The following is a 23,032-nucleotide window of genomic DNA, read 5'->3' as shown; positions in this document are numbered from 1 at the left end:
GACATATATTTAACTATAAAGTATTTATGAAAGATTTAGGTCATTATAGCAGGAGAAAGTTGATTTAAAAATAGCTATTTTAAATTCTTAAGGCTACTACAAAAATCACATGAAAATTTGAAGATTTAACCATAGAATAAACACAATATTACTAGAATGTTATTTTTGTCAAATTAATAATTAAATTCTAAAAACTTCACAAAACAAATAGTTTTAATCATGTATAATATTTTGAATATCTATAATTGGACAATGTAAAGGTTTATAGTTCACTTTAACGAATTGTTTCATTTAAACTGTATACATTTATTATATATTTTTAGAAATAAATTTATTTTGGCATTATAAAGTATTAGTAAGCTTAATACTTTATTGACACACCTGTGTGCTGCCACACATTGGATAGTGAGGAAGGCAGACCAAAAGGAAAGCAACACACTGTGTTAAGGACTAAAATAGACCAACAGTTGATGTGGAAACACTGACTGGGAGGGCCTAAGCATATCTGAGTAAGTTACAGACAGTTGAAATGAACACTCAGAGTCAAAACCAAAGAGTTTTATTTTCTTCACTTTACCATGCATCTTATCTTTCTCTTTTTAACTATTTTACTTTTTGTCAATGCAAACATCTGTATTTTGTTTTATTCTACTTTTAGATATCTCAAATGATAGGAGAGTATAGGAAACTAAACATCAGAACTAACTTCATAGCCCAGCTTTATAAAGAAAGGAGTTTAGATACCAGTGGTCAGAACCCTGTGTGCATGTCACAAACCTCAGAGAAAGAATGCTCACTACTGCTTGGCTTCCTCCTGCTCCCTCTCTTCACTCTAGAGCCTTGTTCTTATCAACACGTCTTAGGTTATATTTTTTTAAAGTACATTACTTTATCCTACCCAATTTCTAGGAGAGACACCTTCAGTTATGTCAATAAAAGTTTTGTAAGTGCTTTTGGTTTCCCACATTGTTTTAACTGACAACCATTCTCATTTCACAATGATCATTTCAGAATAAGATTGTAATTTTGTTGTTTCTTACAATCATCCGCACTAGGCGGTCATTAAACTCAAGAAGCAGGAGTAGTAGGTCAACAAAACAGCATGTCCTCTGACCTTTCCCAGTTGTTACTCTTCTTGTAAGCCCTTTTATAGTAAACCTTGCATAGTAAAATCTTAACCATATCCAAAGAAATGTGGTGGTGATCTTTGAAGGTGTAAGATAAATACAATTTGTTGTTAACAAGCTAAAGTACAGAAAAAGCCTTAAAAGGAAGCTTTGTTTTAATTTAAACTGATGTATTCATATACCCCAATATTCATTATTCTTTTATTATAACATTGTCAATTCCTTTTCATTGGCAATGTTTTTGTGTTTGCAAAGAATCAGCAGGTGTAACCAAGCCTCCATTAAATTTTTACCATTCTGAGGAAGTTGCAATAATCCCCCCTCTCCAAAAATAGTTCAGAGAATGCTGCTTCAAGTCTTTATCCCTTATTTCTGTTCAGGGAGACAAACAATGCTATACGTGCACTGCTGAAATCCTAGAGGCTACAGGAGTCACTATTAGCCAGAGGAGTTCTATTTCTCCACTTGAAGGGTACTGTGTGCGAGGTTCTGAGTGATTCTGGGCAGTTTTCCCATGAAGTTTCTGCGTCTTCCATGCTCAGAAGGCATCCAGCACCTGAACAGCATCAGCCTGTCTCTCACCTTCTCTCCTCCTCTCAGCTCCCCAACCCTGGAGAAGCTAGTGGCAGTCTTGTGAGTGGGAAGGTGGAGAAACATTAGGAAGGGCTAAGAGGAAGCTACCATGTCACCTGTTCCATCACAGGCAGCCAGGCTAAAAGCCAGCCAGAGCTGAGGAAAGAGAGAAGACTTGCTTCAAATGAGGTTAAACATTTTCACTATTTCATCAGATGGAGTTTTATAGTTACTGAACTAAAAATGACAAGAAAATTCATGAACTTGTTCTAGATGTCTTTCAAGAGGCAAGAAAGTTTCTAGCCCCTCAGAAGAGGTTTGATGGGACAGAAGCTGATAAAAAAAAATTGTTTCTATGATTGTACTCCATATGTCCTTCCTGGTCAACATAACAGTTACATAACATGTCTATGGTCACACAACAGTCAAGGGTGATACTCGAAGTGGAGTTCATGACTGTCTGACATCTGAGTCTTTGCTGATCCAATACAAACAACTAGGATAAGCTTGAGTGAATATGGGACTAATAGAAAAATGGATTTTTTTTTTAATTTTTATTTTGAGACAGAGTCTTGCTCTGTTGCCCAGGCTGGAGTGCAGTGGCACGATCTCGGCTCACTGCAAGCTCCACCTCCCGGGTTCATGCCATTCTCCTGCCTCAGCCTCCCAAGTAGCTGGGACTACAGGCGCCCGCCACCGCACCCGGCTAATTTTATTGTATTTTTGGTAGAGACGGGGTTTCACTGTGTTAGCCAAGATGGTCTCGATCTCCTGACCTCGTGATCTGCCTGTCTCAGCCTCCCAAAGTGCTGGGATTACAGGCATGAGCCACTGCGCCTGGCCAAAAAATGGATTTTTTTTAAATTGAAAATTCAATTATTAAACATAATTGAGTATTTACATTTTACTAGGTCTTTCATAAATATAATAATGCTATTTATAAGACCATTTCTTTTCTTATATATGACATCTAGTTTATGGTTCATAACACATAGTTCAGGTATCTGCTGCTTTCAGATGCAATATCATTAGTAATTAAATGGTGATATTTTAGAAAACATGGAAGTTTGTATGAATTTGAGTCCTATTCCTGCCATTGATAAGTCTTCCATCTAGCTTCTCTGAGCTTAGGTTTTCTCATGTGAAAAAATATGGCTAATACTTACCATAAAATAAGTATTAATACTTGCTCTGCCAATTTTAAATGATTGCATTATAATAGAAATTATTGAATGTTTATAAATGAATGTAATTATATATATTTTATGAGTATATGTGTGTGTATATGTGTGTGTGTGTGTGTGTGTGTGTGTGTGTGTGTGTGTGTGTGTACATCTTTGTATGCTTGGGCTACCATAACAAAATACCATAGACTGGGTTGCTTAAATAACAGAGATTTGTTTTTCACAGTTCTGGAGGCTGGGATGTCCCAAATCAAGGTGCTGGCCAGTTCAATTCTTGGCAAGAGCTCTCTTCCTGGCATGCAGATCCCATGTCCTCACATGGCCTTTCCTCAGTGAGTGTGAGCTGAGTTGGGAAAGGGTAAGAGGAGAGAGAGAGAATAAAAGAAGAAGAGATAGAGAGATAGAGAGAGGTGGGGGCGGGGAGAGAGAGAGAGAAATAGAAAGAAAGAAATAATCTCTTCTTATAAAGACAGTAATTCCATCATGAGGGCTGTACCCTCAGGACTTAATCTAACCTAATAACCTCTCAAAGGAAAGCCCTGTCTCCAAATATTTTCAGGCTGGGGATTAGGGCTTTAACATTTCAATTTAGGGATAACACAAACATTCCATCTGTAAAGTGAGTGTGTGTGTGTATATGTGTGTATGTGTGTGTTAATACAATTCCATAAACATTTGAGTGCCTCTTACTTCAGTGATCTTTGGGAGATCTAAAAAAATGCTGAAGACACTCTGCCTTACCAGAAGTAGCTTATTATCCATTTGGTGTAGGAATGCAAGTGTACCTGTAGACAACTAACTGTAATAGAGAATAACATAAAGTAAGCACAATAGTGGTCACAAATCAAAGCTATGACAAAGTAGCATGGGTGCAATTAATTCCTTCCATGGAGGATGGATAATAAATCTAACTGGAGGAGAGAAGGAATGACTTATTAAAATTTATTATTTCAGTTGGGTGCTGTGGTAGAAATTACCAATGGTCATTGTTTACTAATAAGATGCTGATTTTTTTCAGTGTTAGGCTGGCAATGCTTCATGAACACTATCATTTGCCAAGGAATGAACACTGATTAATTAATATGGGTGTTCATCAACCCTTCTTTTATTATCTTTCCCTTCAAGAGCTTTTCTAGACTTTTTTTTTCTAATTACCTTCCCATATGAAATCTTAATATCACAGACATAATATACATCTATTTATGTGCTAAATGTGTATCTACCTACTCTTTGTACATAAAAGAGTAATAATTTTTCATCCCTCACTACCAATTATCACTCTCTTGGGCATAATAATGCTTCTGTTGGTTAAAGTCAATCATGGTATAATTCCTTTTCTGTAGGCAGAGCATGTGACGTAACCACAGTCAGTGAGCAACAAGGAGAACCCTGAGAAGGCACATAAACCTGCAAATGTGACACTTGCCGCCTTTAGATATGGTCACATCAGGATGTAATGGTGAGAACCTTAACTATTTTCTTACTATGCAGGAAAACTTAGAAGGATTCAGGGAAGCTATTATAATATAACTTTAAACATTTTGAGCTACTAAATTAACCAACCCTGGATTTACTCTTCTTCCAGTCTTCTTGATGTGTGAGATAATAGATGTCCTTATTTGTAAAGGCATATTTAATTAATATTCTCTTACTTGAAACTAAAGAATCTTATCCAATATGGGCATCCAAATATGATAGCCTTTTGATAGGCAAGGAGAACTATTGACAGGCTCGGAGAATATCATGGCAAATGTACAGAAACATGAAAGATCAAGGGAGGCTCAATGTAGACTGAATTTTTTATAAGAATGCAAAAGTAGAGACTGTTATGGGATTTCAAGAAATATGAGGCTAGAATGATACAGTGAGTCCAGATGGTGAGGCATTCTTAAATAATTTGTTTGATTTTTTTTAAAGCAGGACCCTTTTGACTTATATTTGGAAAGAAAACAGATGTAAGTGAGATGGCTGAAGAGATTGCAAATAGTCTAAGCAATACATAATTGTGGCAGTGGAAATGTATAGATGGATATGAATATGAAACATACACAGAAATAGAATATATAGAACTTGGTGAGTGATTGGAAAAGTAAAGTGAGTGAGTGAGAAGCACTAATGACTCAAAGTTTCTAGACTTGATGTTTTGGAACAACTTGTAGCATTAATAGAGATAAAGACTAGAATGGAAAGATTAAGGATTGGGAATGAGAAGTACATAAAGTATAGGAAGTTAATTTTGGGATATTTTGAATTTCAGATGCCAGTAGCATATAGAGATGGAAATACTCAACAGAACTTGGAAATGGCCTGTGGTAATAACATATTACACAGTTCTTCTTGAGTCTTCTGTATTTTCCCCTCAATTATGATCAAATCAGCAAACAGGTTTTATAGAATGATTCTGAACCAAATCATTAACAGGATATTTTATAGGAATAAGTAAAAATGTGATTTCTTCAAACACCTCCACAAAAGAAAAGTTGTAATGCTACGTGCATTTAAAGCTTTAATGCACGTGCAGTAAAAATTCCCAATTGGTTCCTTTCACCCAACTCAGACTACTGTTTACATATTGGCAGACCCTGTGTAGGTTAATTTTAGCAGCTACTATTGCTTTCATTCTCTTTTAATTTTCCAGAATATTTGGAGGTATATTACATGAAATAATGTGTAAATCAAATACGGAATCTATATATGTGGGTAAAAACTTAAACACTTCCTGAAATCGTCTGTCTTTGGAATGAAAAAGCTTTATAACAAGAACATACACGGCATAAATCTGAAAATGCTTATGTCTAAACTGGAACTAAATGTAATCACTACTATGGTCCTAGTAAAGAAGGAATGCAATTCAGAGTGTAATCCCCTCCCTTCCCTCTAAATCCAGACAAAACAACCAAACAACACTAGCATTTTCAATGCGTGCATCTTACAGCCTTCCAACCCATTATTTTAAAGAGGGATTTTCTACAGTTTTTAAGGAGAGTATTTTAAATGTTTTGGGTTATTTCCCATATGTTTTGACACTGTTTCAGATTGACTTCAAAGGGATTCTCTTGCTGGAAAATTTAGGCACTTTAACCTCAAAGGAAAATTCCACAATAGTACTGCAGAAGAACTGAACAGGAAGTCTTTCACATATACTTTGGGAAAGAAAAATAGTTTGCTTCTATGTTTTTATGGAATTTGAGAAATCATAATGTTCGGTACCATTAGCCTCTTTCTTTAACTCTCGTAAAGACTCCTTTGGTTTTCCCTTTTCTCTTTGTGGTGCGTGTGACTACGCTCAGCCTCCCTCTCCCACGAGACAGTAACTCTAACATGTTGTATAGATGGCATTTAGCCACAAGGGCATGGCAAGTGCTGCTTTCTCTGTGGCTGTCATTAAATTGTGCCTATGTTTAAAATCACACAAGGCAATGGGATTGTCTTTGACTTTTAAAAAGAATATAATTTCTCTCAATTCATATTTCCTCTTACCAAGAAAATTCACCTAACATTAGCCAAAAGTAGTTTTAAAGTTGCAGAGACTGATTAGAAAACTTCAAGAATGCAAAAATGCTTGAATTTAGATAAATTAAACTAACTGATATACTGAAATAAAGTTACATTGCATCACAATTTGTTTTTTTAAATGTGGAAATATGGCAGAAGACTTTCTGGTTTCCAGATTCCCATTATAAGCATAAAACTACAGAGCTGCTGCAAAAGTATGGCGTTCCACATTCATTATCTCGAGGCAAAAATAAAGTAAGAAAGGCAGGAAAAGGAAAGCTAGGACAAAAACTCTCACACGTAGGTGTCGTTGAATCTGAGAAGGCTGATATGTAGAAACCAGTTGACTTACAAGCTAGTAGTTAGGTCATGCCCAAAAGACAAGTGCAAAGAAAAGTTTAAATTCTTGATTCCAAAATTTAAACTAAACAAAATAATTTTTACGAAAATCCATTTTACTTGAAAAATGCTAGTCATTTTTGTCACATTAAACATATTTATTAAAATAAGTTGTTTTCACCACTGATTCTAAAAGACTGTATAATTTCTTTTTAATGTAATATTGAAAATATCATGAACTACACAAAACTTTTCATTTGAGTATTATTCACAATTCATTTTGCTTTGTGGTATTTAACTTTAAATAATAGCAATCTTTAACTATAGCTCATGATTTTTAAAAAAATTCAGCAGTGTTTAGTATTTTCAGAGTTGTGTAATCATCATCCAACTTTAGAATACTTTTATCATTCCCCCAAAAGAGAGTAGTATAACTACAGTTCAGTTTTAGAACACTTTTATCATTCCAAATAGAAACTCCTGCATCCATTAACAATCACTCTCCATTACCCAGACCGCTTCTCTAGCCCTTAGGCAACCACTAATATACAGTCTTTTTTTATAGATTTAGCTATTCCGGACATTTCACATAAACTGAATCATACAATATGTAGTCTTTTGTGACTGGCTTTCACATCATATGATTATTTTTAAGGGCCGTTCATGTTTTAGCATGCACAGCACTTGATTCTTATTTCTTTTTATCGATTACAAATTTTCAATTGTATGGATATAGACATCAGTTATATATCCATTCCTCAGTTGATAAGACATGTGGATGATTTACATTTTTTGACTGTCATTAATAATGTCAATATGAATATTTATGTGTATGTTTTACATGGACATTGTTTTTATTTCTCTTGGATATACACTTGTAAGAGGAATTTTTGGGTCATGTGATAACTCTATGGCTAACATTTCAACGAAATGTCAGACTGTTTTCCAAAATGCCTGTACTTTTTTACATTCCCACTGCTATGTACAAGGGTTCTGATTTCTGCATATCCTTGCCGACACTGTTCTTGTCCGCCCTTTTTATTGCAGCCATTCTATTGAGTGTGAAAAGTTCTGTTACTGAGATTTTGATTTGTACTTCCATCCTGTCCAATGATATTGAGCAACTTTTTATGATATCATTGGTCACTTGTATACCTTCTCTGGAAAAACATGTATTCAAATATTTTGCTCATTTTCACTTGACTTAGTTGTCCTTTTTATTACTGAGAGGTAAAGATTCTTTTCATGTTCTGAATACAAGTTCCTTATCAGATATGTGATTTGCAAATATTTTTTCCCATTCTGTGGATTGTTGTTTCACTTTCTTGATGGTATAGTTTGCAGCAAAAAGTTTTTCATTTTGATGAAGCCCAATATATCTACTCTTTCCTTTTTTCACTTGTATTTTTGGTCTCATAATTAAGAAACTATTGCTGAACCCACAGTCATGAAAATTTACTTCTATGATTTCTTCTAAGAGTCATAATCTCTTGACTTTAACCTTAACATAAAAGATGCAATGAAGAAGGATTTTTCTGAAGGGAAAGAAGGAACAATAGTAAAAGTAAAGACAAGAAATAGGAAAAGAAGTAAGGAAAGATGTTATAGATCTTTTGAAAGCAGGGAATTTGTTTATGTAGTGTGGTTTTGAAGCTCTAACTGATTGGACTTTCCAAAGAACAACTAACTTGCTTTTAAAGCTCCAGGGAACTTTAGAGATGAAGGACTGGGACTGGAGCTTTTCTCTCACTACTCTTCCTGCCAACCATCTGAATCAGGGAGGAGCATAAGATATAATGCTGGCCCTTGGGACTGGGGCTGAGGCTGGGGTGGAGCTGGAAATAGAGATAGAGCTGGAGGAAGAGCTAGAAATGAAGCATAGGCTGGGGCTGGATCTGAGGCTGGGCTAGAGCCAGAGCAGAGGCTGGGACTGAGTTTAGTACTAGGGTGAGGCAGGGTGGCCACACTTGCCCAAGCATGAGTCTCTTCCTCTCCTCTTGTATCAGTTTTCTAGGGCTGCTGAAACAAGTTAACATAAACTGGGTGGCTTAAAACAATAGAAATGTATTCTCTCAGTCCTGGAGTCTAGAAGTCTGCAGTTAAGGTGTTATCAGTGTTAGTTCCCTTTGGAGGCTCTGAGGGAGAACCTGCCCCATGTCTCTCTCCTACCTTTTGATAGTTGATGGCAATCCTTGGCATTTTTTGGATTATAGATATATCACTCCAATCTCTGGCTCCTTCCCTCTGTATCTGTGTTTCTGCGTCAGCATTTTTCTATTTGTAAGGACATCATTCGTATTGTATTTAGGGCCCACCCGAATCCAGCATGCCCTCGTATTAACTTGGTTACATCTACAAAGAGCCTATTTCCATAAAGGGTAAATTCACACAGGTTCTAGTAAATTCTGGGGAGACACCATTCAACCCAATATACCTCTTTGGTAGGTCTTTTGGAAACTGAGCTCATGTCCCAGCACTTGCAAATATGAAAGGAGCAGGAAAGGAGCTAACCAACAAGAGGACAATGCTAAGACTTTTTGTCATGACAAGACCCAATGTCTATCCCAAGCTTTATGGAAATAACATTGAAAATTATTATCATATTTTACTGTATTAAAGGAACTAGATTGTATCTTGTTTTGTTAGAGAACCACTTGAACACATTTTATGTTTCTCTTCCCAGTGCTGGCTTTCACTTTGAATGCTTTAAAAGTGTCTGACTTCACACTCTGAACAGAGCTACTGGGAGTGTTTTAGATGCTACAGAGTGACCTACTTTAGATTATCTAAACTTGAGGTGTGAGAAAAAAATTAAAATCAATTTTGGTAACTAAAAGGAGGAAGTAGAGGTATAGAAGATCACAGAAAGCTGTTAGTTGCACTTTCATGCTGACAGTCTGTGGGAAGATCCAAAGAACCATCTGTTTGTAAAGTCTCTAGGCATGTTTTAACAGTCATGCATACAGGCAGCCTTAGATAATCACCACAAAAAAAGATTCTATCACACTGACATCATTTAGGAGTACTAATGGTATTTGAAATCATATAAGAATAGGCTTAAAAATGAAAGGTACACATAGTCATGTCTAAAGTACTATACCAAATTGTTTTTTGAAGTCTGTTATGAACATACTATTTGAATACATTTTTGATGTTTTATTATGCCCTATCATCTTCATCTACTTTTATGGTTAGCTTTTTATGGTTCAATTCCATTCTGTCTCCTACTAGAGCTTTTATTAGTCATGAGAGATGAGGCTATACTAAAAGAACAACCTCAAAAATCTCTATAGCATAAAACAAAAGATTTTGTTTGTACTCCTGCAAAGTTCCGTTAGTGGGTATTCTCCTTCATTTGGTGTGTTGGGGTAGCCTTAAGGATGGCCCTACAGTCATCCCTGACTCCTTGTATTCATCCCCTCTATATCTCCTTGACTCATCTTGTATTCTTGGATATGGACTGGACTTATTGACTCACTGCTAATGATTAAATACTCAGAAATAATAGGTTGCACTTCCAGTAGTAGGTTATAAAATGACTGTGGTTTTCATCTTGAGAACACTTTCACACTTTCTCCTGAATCACTTACTTCAAGGAAAGTCACCTGCTGTGTTAGAAGGGAATCCTGTAGAGAGGTACTGGTTGCAAGGGACCAAGGCCTGCCAGCAAACCTAAGTGAGCTTGGAGGTAGGTACTCCCTCACCACAGTTGAGCCTTCGGAGGAGACTAGAGTCCCAGAAAACAGCTTTGCAGTAACCTTATGCAAGAATTTGAGCCACAGGCCCCTAGGTAAACTATGCTACGGTTCTTAACCCACAAAATCTGTAAGATGATAAACATCTGTTTGGGAGTAGTTTGTTACACAGCAATAGATAGGTAATATGTCTGGTAGCTTGGGAATCCAGGGGCTTTCCACTTTGTGATTCAACCATAGCAACATGAGACTTCAAATTTGCCCTCGTGTGGAAAAGAGATCTTGGAAAATCCACTCTTGAATTGACACACATCATTTGCACTTACAGTCCATTGGCTAGAACTAGTCATGTGGCTCAAACCTAACCTCAGGGAGGCTGGGAGAAATAAAGGAGGGCATGTAATTCTCTGTGGATATCACTCTCATTATCACATTTGCTCCATCCCTTGTCAGACATTAAATCAACAAACACTTTGAAAATTGCAATGTTAAAAAAAAAAAAAGAAAGAAAAAACATTTCTCAATCCTGTCACCTCATTAAGTTAAAATCCCTAGTTATTCCCTTTATTGCAGTGCTGCTCCTCATAAGAGACAAGTCCAGACAATCTTTCTCTCCTTGCTCTATCTCTATACGCTGCTGAATCCTATGGACTGGACTTATCTGACTTCTACCTTCAAATCTAAAGAATATGATTGTTGAAGATTTACAAGACTTTTTATATTTAAAAAATGAAAAATCTTTTCTGAAGCCCTCATCCTTGACCTCTGAGGCTCTTAATGCAAAATTTATACCAATCTTGTTAGAATTTGTATTCCCTTTCAATTTTTGTGATATATTTTATTATTTCAGTCATTGGAGGAGTCATGCTGGTGACCATTCTATTAATAAATGCAGCATCACCTCCCATTCTTCTCCAATTATATTGGTTTTACTTATTTGGCACAAATATAAGCAGGAAAGGGGAAAAGTTACTTAACATGTCTTTAAAGCATATTTGAGTTATTTTACTTCCCTGATTTCCTGTCTATCAGATTCTAGGATTACTTGGAGTAACAGTAAAATTATCGTTCAATTATTAATATATTGTATCACAAACTATTAAATAGTAAGATAGATTTTTTCTTTTTTTCCTACTTTCCCAAATTTTCCAGTGATGATAATGAAAATAAGCTGGCATCATATTCCAAGAAACAGTGAAAGGTAATTAAACAATGACCTAAGAAAACTATCGGGGAAAGCACCTATTATTTGTCATAAAGATATGTGTTAGATTTACATAAACATATTTTATTATTTAATAATTACAGAATGTTTAATTGGTATATATCATGTGTTTAACATATCTGTTAAAATTGGTTTATTGAATCCAATTTGGTTTGTGTAAGTCTGAGGAAAAGAGTTCTGAAGGGGTATGCTAAGATATCTCCTATAAAAATGTTTCTGATATGACCTTTATATTTTTTCTTTTTCACTTTTTGTTATTCCTCTTGTCCCCTTTAGTATAGGGGCTCCCAAATGTTCTGACTTTGGCCTTATCTTCCAGTTCTCTCTTCCCTTAGTGATCACATCTTCACAGCTTCAAATGACACTGCTCTGGGTATAAGTGTCGAGTGTGAATTGCTACTCTTGACCTCACTCCCAAGCTCAGAGCCTGATTTCCAAGGCCTGCTGGCTGCCCTTCTGACATCTTCTACTCTTCACTTTCAGAACAGAATTCAAACCTGCTTGTCCTCCTGGTTTTATGTTTATGCCAATGGCATGATCCTTTTCCCAGTTACTAATATGAGAACCTCTGAGTCATCTGATTCTTTTTACCTCCATCTCCAGTAGCTACCCAGATCCTGCTAGTCTTGCTTCAGCTATAGCCTTCTCAGCTATGCCGTCCTTTCTTTGTCAGTGCCTTAGTTTGTCTGACGCCTAATATATTGACTCTCATGGAAAAGACACTTAATAAATATTTGCTTATTCCAAATCACTTTGCTTATGATCTACCTTTGTCCAATACATGGTATGTATATATATATATTTTTTTTTTTGAGACAGAGTCTTGCAGTCTCACATAGGCTGGAGTGTAGTGTCGTGATCTTGGCTCACTGCAACCTCCACCTCCTAAATTCAAATGATTCTTGTGCCTCAGCCTCCCAAGTAGCTGGGTTTACAGGCACATGCCACCACACCCAGCTAATTTTTGTATTTTTAGTAGAGATGTGGTTTCACCATTTTGCCTAGGCTGGTCTTAAACTCCTGGGCTCAAGTGATCCTCCCACCTTAGCCTTCCAAAGTGCTGGGACTACAGGCATGAGGCACCACACCCAGAACCATAGTACATATTGAACAGTTTTAATCTTTGCACTTCAAGATTCACAGGTTTTTTTCTAGTGAAACATGTTATGACCTATTTGGAAGTAGCCTCAAAGAATGTTCATGAGAGAGAGAGAGAGAGAAGAAGAGAGAGAGAGGAAATGAGACAGAGAGAGATTATCTTCATCTCCCTCAGTTCCAATAAGGTGTGAAGAAGACCCAAATATCTCAATTGTCCTAATGAAGGGCATAAATGGAAGCTGAAACAAGGAGAATAAGGATGCTATGGTGAAGAGCTGCAGAGCAGACCATACAGCTCAGTCCCTGAATGGCAGTCACACCATATCTTAGGAATCACATCATCTTCATCAGCCAAGGTGGCTTCCATTGATGGGGCTTTCTCTGTTTGTTCTTAGATTATTGATGGAATATATGGAGTCTGCAAAGATGTCCCTGAAGTGGTTAATGCACCCTTCCAATGCTGAGGGGGAATTTCATTAATTATTTAGGCAGCTGATGCAGCAGGGGTGGGAGTCAAGAATTCAAGAGTCAGTGTGTTTAGACACCTCAGTGGAGACTAGCAAGAGGTAGAGGATAGCTTCAAGCCAGAAGCCTTGATTTTATGTAAGTCTATGTTCAATCTAAATACCACCTGGAATTAAGGTGTAACCTGGCAGGTCAAATCAAGTAGAACTTGTGGTACATGAAAAGATTCAACTTTATATTTTCCTCCACTAATCTTCCCTTTCCTGATGAGACAGCTGGCTGGTCCATCTCTGCTGTGTAGTTTTGCTTTTCCAGGCTGGAATCAGACAGTGCCTACTGTTTTTCTCCAACATCAGGGTAATCTCTCCAAGTAGTCCCACTGAAGCTGGGATATTGACTAAATAGCTTGAGTCAGAAAGGTTAAGGCATAAAGAGTTCATGGATGAATTCAGTTATAGAGAGATAATGAAACAATGTGTGCATAGCTATGTTGTGAATACAAATTTTAAACTACACTGTATTTTGGGAATTTTTGTTTTGCTCACTCAAGTATCCCAAGGCATTATAAGAATGTTGACTGAATGGTAAATGTTTAATAAATATTTGTTGAATGAATGAATTGGTTAAGGTAAAGGATACCCACTACCTCTATTCTAGGAATGAATCCTGGAATTGAATAAGCCTGTCCTAAGCCAATAATCTTTGCTAGAAGCCAGCTTCTAGCAAAAGGTGAGAATACAGCATTTTGCATACTTTTGCTCTAGGTTGGAGGCTGCGTTTAGCCTATGAGGAAGTGTTCTCTATCTAGGTCAGACTAGCTCACAAAGGCATTATACAAGTGTTTGAAGCCACATCCTCACAGAATGAAGATTATTCTTTGATTGATCATTGCCTCTGAGCATACACTTCTTCTGGTGACTTTGTGGGAATTGAGAATTGTCTAGCAAAGAACAAAATTCTGTGTTCCTCGGTTACCTCATAACAAGGCATCCTAATTTCACCTTTTTCATTTCCCCTAAATAAGCTTAATTTCATCCCTCTATACCCAGGCTCTTACTTCCTGTTTGGTATATCCTTTCCTGATTGCTTTCAGAAACATCTTTGCCATCACTTCTACTTTTCATCTAAATGCCCTTGGAACTTTCCTTTTTCTACTTCAATATGAAGTAGATTTCTCCCTTCCCTGAATCCCATAAGCCTTTTATTGCAATTCAAACATTATAGCTTGTGTGATACTTACTGCTGTATCATTTTTCCTTTACCACACAGCTTATTAGCCTAATTACATTTATATTCCCCACAGTGCATTATATAGAGCCTACTACATAATCGATTAAAAAAAGTTTATTTAATGCATAAATTCAGATTGGAAAACATTAGAGTATATAGTACATTTCTATTAAAGACTCTGTCACATTAGGTGACATATGTTTTACATGCATCCAAACAGTTATTGCAGCCCAGATTCTTGTTTTTTTATTCCATTTATGGGCAATGACTTCAGGGCTAATACTAATTGTATATACTTTAGTATAGCTCTGAAATAATTTCAGGTTCATAAATAATATTTCCCCATTCCATTATAAACTGAGAAGGGCAGACGCTTTTATATTTTTTATAGTCCTCATGGTATTTAGCATGATATGGGGCCCATTACAGTTGTTACTGTATACACATAGGTTAGTTGATTGAACATGTTTTGTAAGATTCCAAGAAAGTTGGTATTGCTATAATCTTGAATCTATTTTTTATTAGACTGTGTAGAGATTTAAAACTCTGTCAGATATAATGTATTGAATTTTATTTATCCAGTCTTACATGTTCACTTTAAGTGTTGCCTCCTTGGAACGAAGACATCCAAGTAAAAATTGAAGAGTTTACTTATTTAAATAAGGTAATCTATTTAAAAAGCTTTAAGTGGTGACTTCAACTCTCCTTCCCCTACTCAACACATAGATATTAAAGAGCATGATATATTAATTCCAAAATTTCTAAATATCTGGCTTTTATTTAAATAGCACAAAATTAGAGACCTTAAAATAACCACAGAGGAACATTTTTAATTCAGAATTTTGATATAGTACAAATATAATAATGCAGTAACTAAAGCTATTGGAATCTCGTTTTCACTGTAAACAATTTGTACATTTTTCAACAAGGAAAAATGTATTTGATGATGTAAATTAGTCAATCAAACTGGACTCGATGAAAAAAATTATACTTCTTGTTGCCTAAATTATGGAAAAACATTTGAAGATGTCGCAATAGTCCATTACATATTTGAATAAACTTTAATCTTGAAAGAAATTGAAAATCACTTAACTAATACTTCTATGCATATATATTCACTGAACCATTATTTGTTTTCTTAAGTATGGTAAGCTCAGTTGATTATAGAAATAGTGTGGAGCTAGATCAATAGAAATATATATATCTTGGAATAAAACCCACAAGTAAAACTTAGTATCTTGTTACCTGAAACTGTAGCTCCGTTTAACTAGAGATTATTTTGTATGAAGCCTGGGTGTTAATATGTGAATGACTGAAAATCTGTCAGCCATACCCGAATATAAAATTCTGCATACAGAAGAGAGAGTGGGGGGAAAATCCTGTTAATATCAGTTTCCTCATCTGTTAATGAGAATCATACAGAACCTGCCTCCTGGGGTTGTCCTAAGGAATAGTAAGTATCAGATATAAAGTCCTTAATACTTGGCATATAGTATGAGTTCAATAAGTCTTAACTATCATTTTTGTGAATGATATTTCCCATTTCTGTTATATCAGTCTTAAGTGTTAGAAATCAATTTAGATATATAATCCATTATCTATAAAGTATAAATATATATAGAGAGTGTATATAACTCCACACATCATTTACGGATAATGAATCTAGCATCTCATGAAAATCCAGTGAGACTTTCATGGAAGTTATAACTATACTCATGGGGTTTTTTTTTTTTTTGGTTATTTTTTGTGTGTTTGCTTTTTTAAATGAAAATGTAATCTTTTTGTTAGACCATGAGTTAACAGTGGCAAATCTAGGATTAAAATCTCGATCTTTTTTGTTATTCATCATTATTTCCACTGTGTTATGTGGCTATTTTGATGACTGCTACTCTAAATCATTGAACTTTTATATTTTGTCAAGAGAATTTCTTGAAAATAAATGTGTGCTAAACAAGCATCTTTACTTAAATGATGAAAGAACAGTTTGTTTCTGAATTTTCCCATTATAGAACAATAATATTGGCTAAATGTTTATTCACATACCAAAGAAACACATGGCCATACTATCTGTCACATCACTGACTTGCATTTTGATTTTGAAAAAATCATTTCAGCTTTCACCTGACCTAGACAAAAATTGAAAATAGCAGTGCTATTTTGCCTCCTCTTTACCTCATTGGCTTAGGGTAATATTGAACAAGTTAATATTTTACATTTCTACATAGGCTTTTTGGAAAAGAAGAGTTTTTTTTATGAAGTTTGTTCATTTTATTTTATTTTATTTTATTTTATTTTATTTTTTTAGAGATAGAGTCTCACTCTTTCACCCAGGCTGGAGTGCAGTGGCATGATCTCAGCTCACTGCAACCTCTGCCTCCTAGGTTTAAGCAATTCTGGTGCCTCAGCCTCCTGAGTAGCTGGGATTACAGGCACGCACCAACATACCCGGCTAATTTTTGTATTTTTAGTAGAGACAGGGTTTCGCCATGTTGGCCATGCTAGTCTCGAACTCCTGACCTCAAACAATCCACCCACCCGGCCTCCCAAATTGCTGGAATTACAGGCATGAGCCACCACGCCCATCCCATGAAGCTTTTTCTATATAAATACTGTATTAATTACTTTACAAGAAATTTTTCTATTTTTGGCAAGATATTTTAGCAGAAGTCATCATCAAACTAAAAGAACAGAGAAACGATTGACAGAAAGTAATGCAGTAGTTACCTGTGGCCATGTGTGCAAGAATCAGATAAAGGTTTCCATCCATCTGGATTCCATCTATTCTTCCTTCCAAAATATCACTAATATTTCAGTCTTTTGATCTCTTCTGTTTAGGCTGTGAAACTTGGGGTGGAGGTAGGGTGACAGGTGAAAGGGAGGATGAAGGAAAGTGATGAATTAGGGGTTTATTTAATTTTCTTGTTTAAGCATCCAGTACAGTGTTTGTACGTAAGCCAGGCTTGCAGACTTACTTATACTAGAAAGCCAGTGTACAGCTCTAGAGTCAGTGCCAGTAGAAAATTTTTAAAATAGAAATTGTGCAAAAGAAATAAACCCAAAGGGCAGAAAGTATTTCACATTTGCTCCAGAAGACTATAGTGCCATTAAACTTTTATATTTATCCATTGGGGATTTTTTTTAAGTCTTCAAAAGCTATTTTTATTTGAATTTCCTGGAACCACAAATGTATGTTGTCAAAATTTTTGATTGAATTTTGGGAAACACAAAACTTTAAAACATTAGAATTCCATTTGTTTTCCTATTATCTTTTAAAAAATTTACAAAGAAAGATTTGCCTTACCAGTGAAGGGGGAAATACATAATTGGTGATGGTTATTCTGGTTTATTGACTTTCACTTCAAAAGGAATACCAGCAAAGGAGAAAAAATATAATAGGTGACGTGCCAGCAAAGGAGGAAAAGTATAATAGGTGACAGTTAATTTGGTTTACTGACTTTTACCTGAAGAAGCCATATTTAATTCTGTGGTCAACTCTAAGAGATCACAGGGTCTCTTAAGTGATCATCATTTCTTTTGCCATCTCACATTGACTCATCTGACTTAGAAATGGGTGGATGAAAAGAATCTTCACTCACTATGTTTTAATGTTAGAACACAAAAACTCAAATTGGGCAGGAAGAAACAAACCTCTCTCATGTAAGAGACACTCAGTCCCCCGAAAAAGAACAAATTCTTCATTCAGAGTGAACAGCTTGTGAGAAAAAGCTTACTACCTTGCTCATAGGCAAGGGAGGTGATTGTCAAATATAGCTGGAAGGATGTCTTGCCCAGTCTTTTGCGGATGCTTGAAGTTTCTATAATACAGAGAGAAACTTTTAATTCCACAAACTCAGATGAAGTTATAAGGCTAATGTTTCTAAGAGGGAGTATACTATAGTGATTTGAATTTAGCAGGGTTGTAATAACTTGTACCAGATTGTGTCTTAATCAACCAGCAAATATTTATTGACCATCTACTATGTGCCATTTATTGACCATCTACTAGTTTTATGATAAAACTGAAGCTCAAAGGTTGTATGCATCTTCTCTGATGTCTCACTAGAATCCTCCAAGCTAAATGGTTTATTCATTTTTGGGGGCTATCACTGTGCTACCACATACTTCTGAAACCCACAGGAATGTTGCTTTCATTGTCACCTATCTTCCCCCACTGGATTGCATACTCCACACGAGAGCTGAGGCTAGCTTGGTCTCATTCATCTTGGTAACGTTCGAGTATATCAGAATCTTGGCACGCAATTGACATTTAATTCATGCTTATTAAATGAATTAATAAGACTGAATAAGATATTAATGCTACTCTATGGCACTTGACAGGTAGGACAGGAAATAAGACATGAGTGCAGAACAGTTATTGAGAGATTAGTTGCTTTAAGTTTATCATGTATAGTGGTGAGTTAGGGAGAAGAGACAGAAAAATAAATGAGATCAAGAAGTCCCCAAAAGACGCTGCCTTGTTTCTGCCAATTTTGTGTGCCAATCCTACACTCACGTTGAAAACAATTAGTTATCCATTACATTACCTTTAGATGTTCCATAGCAATTATAGTTACTCATTTATTTACTAGAAGTTTGCTTACATTTAATTGATTTATTTGAAGAACCCAAAGTAATGACATGTAGCAGAAATCATGCCTCTCTTTCTCTTTCTCTTTAGGCACATCCTGCATCTAGGTTTGAAATGAAAAGAAGTGAGCTTAGATAGGCAATTCCTATTTCCTCTAGAAAACATGATCGTTGACATGAATTTAAGCAGACAGCATGAATCAAAGATTAACAAGTCAGTTCAGTTCTGGCTCTGCAGTTTAATGGGCTTGAGGTCTTAGACCACATGCTTACTCTCTCTAAACCTCAGTTATCTCATCTCTGAAGTGGAGATAATAATGCCTACCCTGTTTATCTTTTAAAGCTGTGATGTGTAAGAAAATGCTTTACATACTATGAGCTACTATATAAATGCAAGGGACTCTTGCTATTATTATGGTCATGATTGCTCTGGTAATCATGACGATAGCACTGAATACAAATCTAAAGGGCACATCCACATAATTAAAGTGTCTTACCTCAGGAACAGCTCTAGACATTCACGTCTGTGAAACAGCATCTGATCAGTCCTTAAACTCATCAGACAACGTATACATTGATGGACCCTGAAGAATTACTGGCACATTAATTTGCTTGCCTGGAAACATCTGGATTCTCTAAAATTAGATTCCTGATGAAAGATCCCTGAAGTGTTGCCAGATTTCTGTTTAGATAATTTTATTCAGTTCAACAAACATGAATCGAATGCCTATTTAGGCCAGAAATTGTTGTAGGTAATAGAGACTTAAAGATTGGTGATCATGGCTCCTGCCTTCAAAGAGCTCACAGTTTGTGGGCAGAGACAGATACATAATTAGATGTCCACAGAATATAAAATGGAGTTATGTGTAATTATTACATAAATTACAGTGGTACTACAGGAAGTAGACTAAAGCAAAATCAGAGACTATCTTGATGGAAAGGATGCCTGAATTGAACATTAAAGCATAAGTGGAAGTTACAAAGGCAAAGTGAGTGCAAAGTGAGGGTAATTCCAAGCAGAGGGAACAACATGAGCAAAGGATCTAAAACTGGGAAAAAAATATGTGGCTATGTTGCTGGATCAGAAACCAAACTGAAAGATGTAGAGGGAGCTAAGGCTGAAGACTGGAGAAGAGAAAAACCAGTTCCTGGAAGGGCTTGTGGGTCATGTTTTTAACTGTGACAGATAGATACCACCAAAGGGTATGAAACAGATAAGAGACATTGTGAGATACAGATTTTAAATAAAATGCACTGGGTATTGCATTGATTGAAAGATAATAAAACTGGAAGCAGGGACATTTGGTTAGGGTAGCAATTTGGAGAGATGAGCCAAGGAAACAGTAATTAAGATAGGCAGCAATACTTTTGAGAAATATACAAACACACACACACACACACACACACACACACACACAGAGTGTGCAGGAAGAGACAGGACTTGACAGCTGCTTCAATGTGGCGTTGAAAAATACAAAAGTGTCAAGACAGAGCCAGGCATAGTGGCTCACACTGATAATTCTGCTTACTCTGGAGACTGAGGTAGGAGGATCGCTGGAGGCCAGAAGTTTGAGGCTGCAGTGAGAAATAATGACACCACTGCACTTCAGCCTGGGTAGCAGAGCGAAACACCATCTGAAATACAAACATTAAAAAATGCAAAATTAAAAAAAGAAAGATGCCACGATAGATTACCCAAGCACCGTACTGGTGTAATAGATATCTCAGTCTATGAAATTAAAAATTATGATATATTACTTAATTTTTATAAGCTATCTAATTTCTGACTCCAGAACAAATTCCACTAGACTGCTGGGAAAAAAATACCTGAACTCCCAAGCCCCAATCCTTACTGACATTTCTCTAGTTAGGATTTCACTATGATATTAAGGTCTTAATGCCAAGGAGTTGGGGATGGCCCATTTGGTTGTTGGCTGTGAGTCCATGCCTGTAGCTGCTGAGACAGCTGTCATCCTGGCCTATGTGGCCTTTACAAGTCCCTTAGTTCTCTCTGATGCCTCAGTGCCAAGCATGGTTGGTGGGCAAATCTTGGGAGAGAGGGCATATGTTCTCTTCGCCCAGAAGCAGTGTGAAGCCATTTTCTCCTTTTGCTGTACTTTCCTAGGAAATGGAGGGGAGGTACCTTCAGCCCCGGCAGGAAACCACAGGTCTCTCATCATTGCCTTCTTCTCTTAATCTGAGGGGAGATAATTCTCTGAGGAAAATCCTTTTCCTTTCAGGTCTCTCTGTTTTTGTGTGTTTACATCGCAATGTTTCTTCTCCTCTCTGGAGTTTAGTTTGGGCATAGAAAATACATCAAGGCAATTCCTTGCTTTTTAAAATTATCTGCCCTCTACTTCCACATGAAAAGGGTCTTTGTCTTCTTGCCATTTTACCTTTGGCAGCCGGCATCCAGAATACTCTGATACATGCTAAGAGCACACACACAAATATTTGTTTATTAAATAAATGAATATAAGGGTAAGTTATGAGCTGACATGACATATTTTAGGAGGAAAAAAGCTACCATTTTGGAATTCTCTCAGCAGTGCTATATACTGAAAGAGTAAATGAGTGAATTAATTAGAAAATGAATACAGCCATGGCTGCTTACTTTTGTTTTCTGTTCTCTGCCACATTCCTTCCCTGAGGCATTCAGCACAGAGCTGATTTCATGCTGAAAGAGAAGGAAGAGAAAGGAAAGAAAAATATTCAGAGAGGAAAAATATTAATTAAAATATTAATATAATCCAGTCAGTTTACTTATTTCAAGTCATCATCTAACACCAATCAAAATGCTTCTTACTACCTAAATTGAGTATTTTTATTGAAATGTAAAGTTTATTTCAATGATATTCAAAATATGAATTAGAGAATTGAGAGTGAGAACAGATTCTTATACAGAGTTGCAAATTTACTCATACTTAATCACACTAAGAAAAGTATTTTTTAAATTTTGTCTATGACTAATAAGATCTTACTCTCAGACCTCAGGTCCCCTACTGCTTGCTGTGATAATTTTTCCTTCCTTCCTTCCTTCCTTCCTTCCTTCCTTCTTCCTTCCTTCCTTCCTTCCTTCCTTCCTTCCTTCTTCCTTCCTTCCTTCCTTCCTCCCTCCCTCCCTTCCTTCCTTGGAAGGAACTACCAACCCTATGCAAAGTCATTTAAACATGGTGGCAAAGTTTGTGCAAGTAGAGAACGTCAGATACAAAACAAAGCAAAACAGAAACAAAACACCAAAAAATATAAATTAAGATTGTGAACTTTCAGGGCCTAGGGATAGGGGAAGGAAAATCAAGGAGCACAAGTGTTCAAAATCTGGATTGTAACTCCCTCTGTCTAGACTGGGACTGGGAGAGGAGGTACTAGAGGACTACCTTTGCCCTTGGTGTTTCCCCACTTATGTAATATACCATCTCTTCTCTGGGTTCTCTTACTATCTCATTATTGGGTAGTGCTTGGCTGCTGTAATAGGCATGGAGACATGGAGGGATATACTCCATCCATGTTAGTGGTAGTTTAGTCCTTATTATGTGAAAGAGAAAGAGGGTAGGGAGGAAGGACATATTTGGATAATTTTATCTCAAGACATTAGCCTGTCTTGTAATGCTATTACATTCCTCCACCTCCTTTTTGCATTTTAGAAACTAATTTTCTTTTTCTTTTTATTATCTTCGCTTTTAAATCACCCCCCTATCCTGTAGGCTCCTGGACCCCAACTTGCCTCAATAGACTCAGGCAAATATATATTTTCAAAATATTTTTGTATTATGCCAATATTAGAATAATTTTGAAAAAACTTAACTGTCTATTATATAATCGAGTATCAACAGTTAAGTGCCAAATATCATGCTATGGATGTTATGTGCATTTTTTCACAATATCAAATACATGCTATACATTTTATTTCCATTTTTACCTATGAAATGTATATTATTGGTTTACAGAGATAGAAATGAATGCTTAGAGAGATTAAATAATTTGCCCCAAATAATACCCCTCATAAATGGCTTT

At 36.2% G+C, this 23,032-nt stretch overlaps 2 long non-coding RNA genes across 2 annotated transcripts in view, besides 1 other annotated feature; one reads left to right on the top strand and one right to left on the bottom strand.

The window, feature by feature from the left end:
• LINC02789 (long intergenic non-protein coding RNA 2789) overlaps positions 1–23,032 on the bottom strand; it is a 244,710-nt gene that overhangs the window by 210,190 nt on the left and 11,488 nt on the right. The window contains exons 2-3 of the long non-coding RNA NR_147896.1: positions 21,633–21,695; positions 20,548–20,653 (exon numbers count right to left, since the gene is read on the bottom strand). This is a non-coding gene — a long non-coding RNA (long intergenic non-protein coding RNA 2789). The remainder of the gene's footprint in view (positions 1–20,547; positions 20,654–21,632; positions 21,696–23,032) is intronic.
• LOC107985243 (uncharacterized) overlaps positions 4,296–23,032 on the top strand; it is a 79,017-nt gene continuing 60,280 nt past the window's right edge. Inside the window, exon 1 of the long non-coding RNA XR_001738357.2 lies at positions 4,296–4,343. This is a non-coding gene — a long non-coding RNA (uncharacterized LOC107985243). The remainder of the gene's footprint in view (positions 4,344–23,032) is intronic.
• Positions 9,523–9,572: an enhancer, noted in NCBI's record as "active region_2290". NCBI's record gives its function as "activates an Ori minimal core promoter by ATAC-STARR-seq in GM12878 lymphoblastoid cells {active_cell/tissue: GM12878}" and the evidence as "EXISTENCE:reporter gene assay evidence [ECO:0000049][PMID:35858748]".

The sequence above is a fragment of the Homo sapiens genome, chromosome 1, assembly GCF_000001405.40.
Source record: "Homo sapiens chromosome 1, GRCh38.p14 Primary Assembly".
Taxonomy (NCBI): domain Eukaryota; kingdom Metazoa; phylum Chordata; class Mammalia; order Primates; family Hominidae; genus Homo; species Homo sapiens.
The sequence above is the reverse complement of the archived record's forward strand: the minus strand, read 5'-3'. Positions and strand labels throughout refer to the sequence as shown.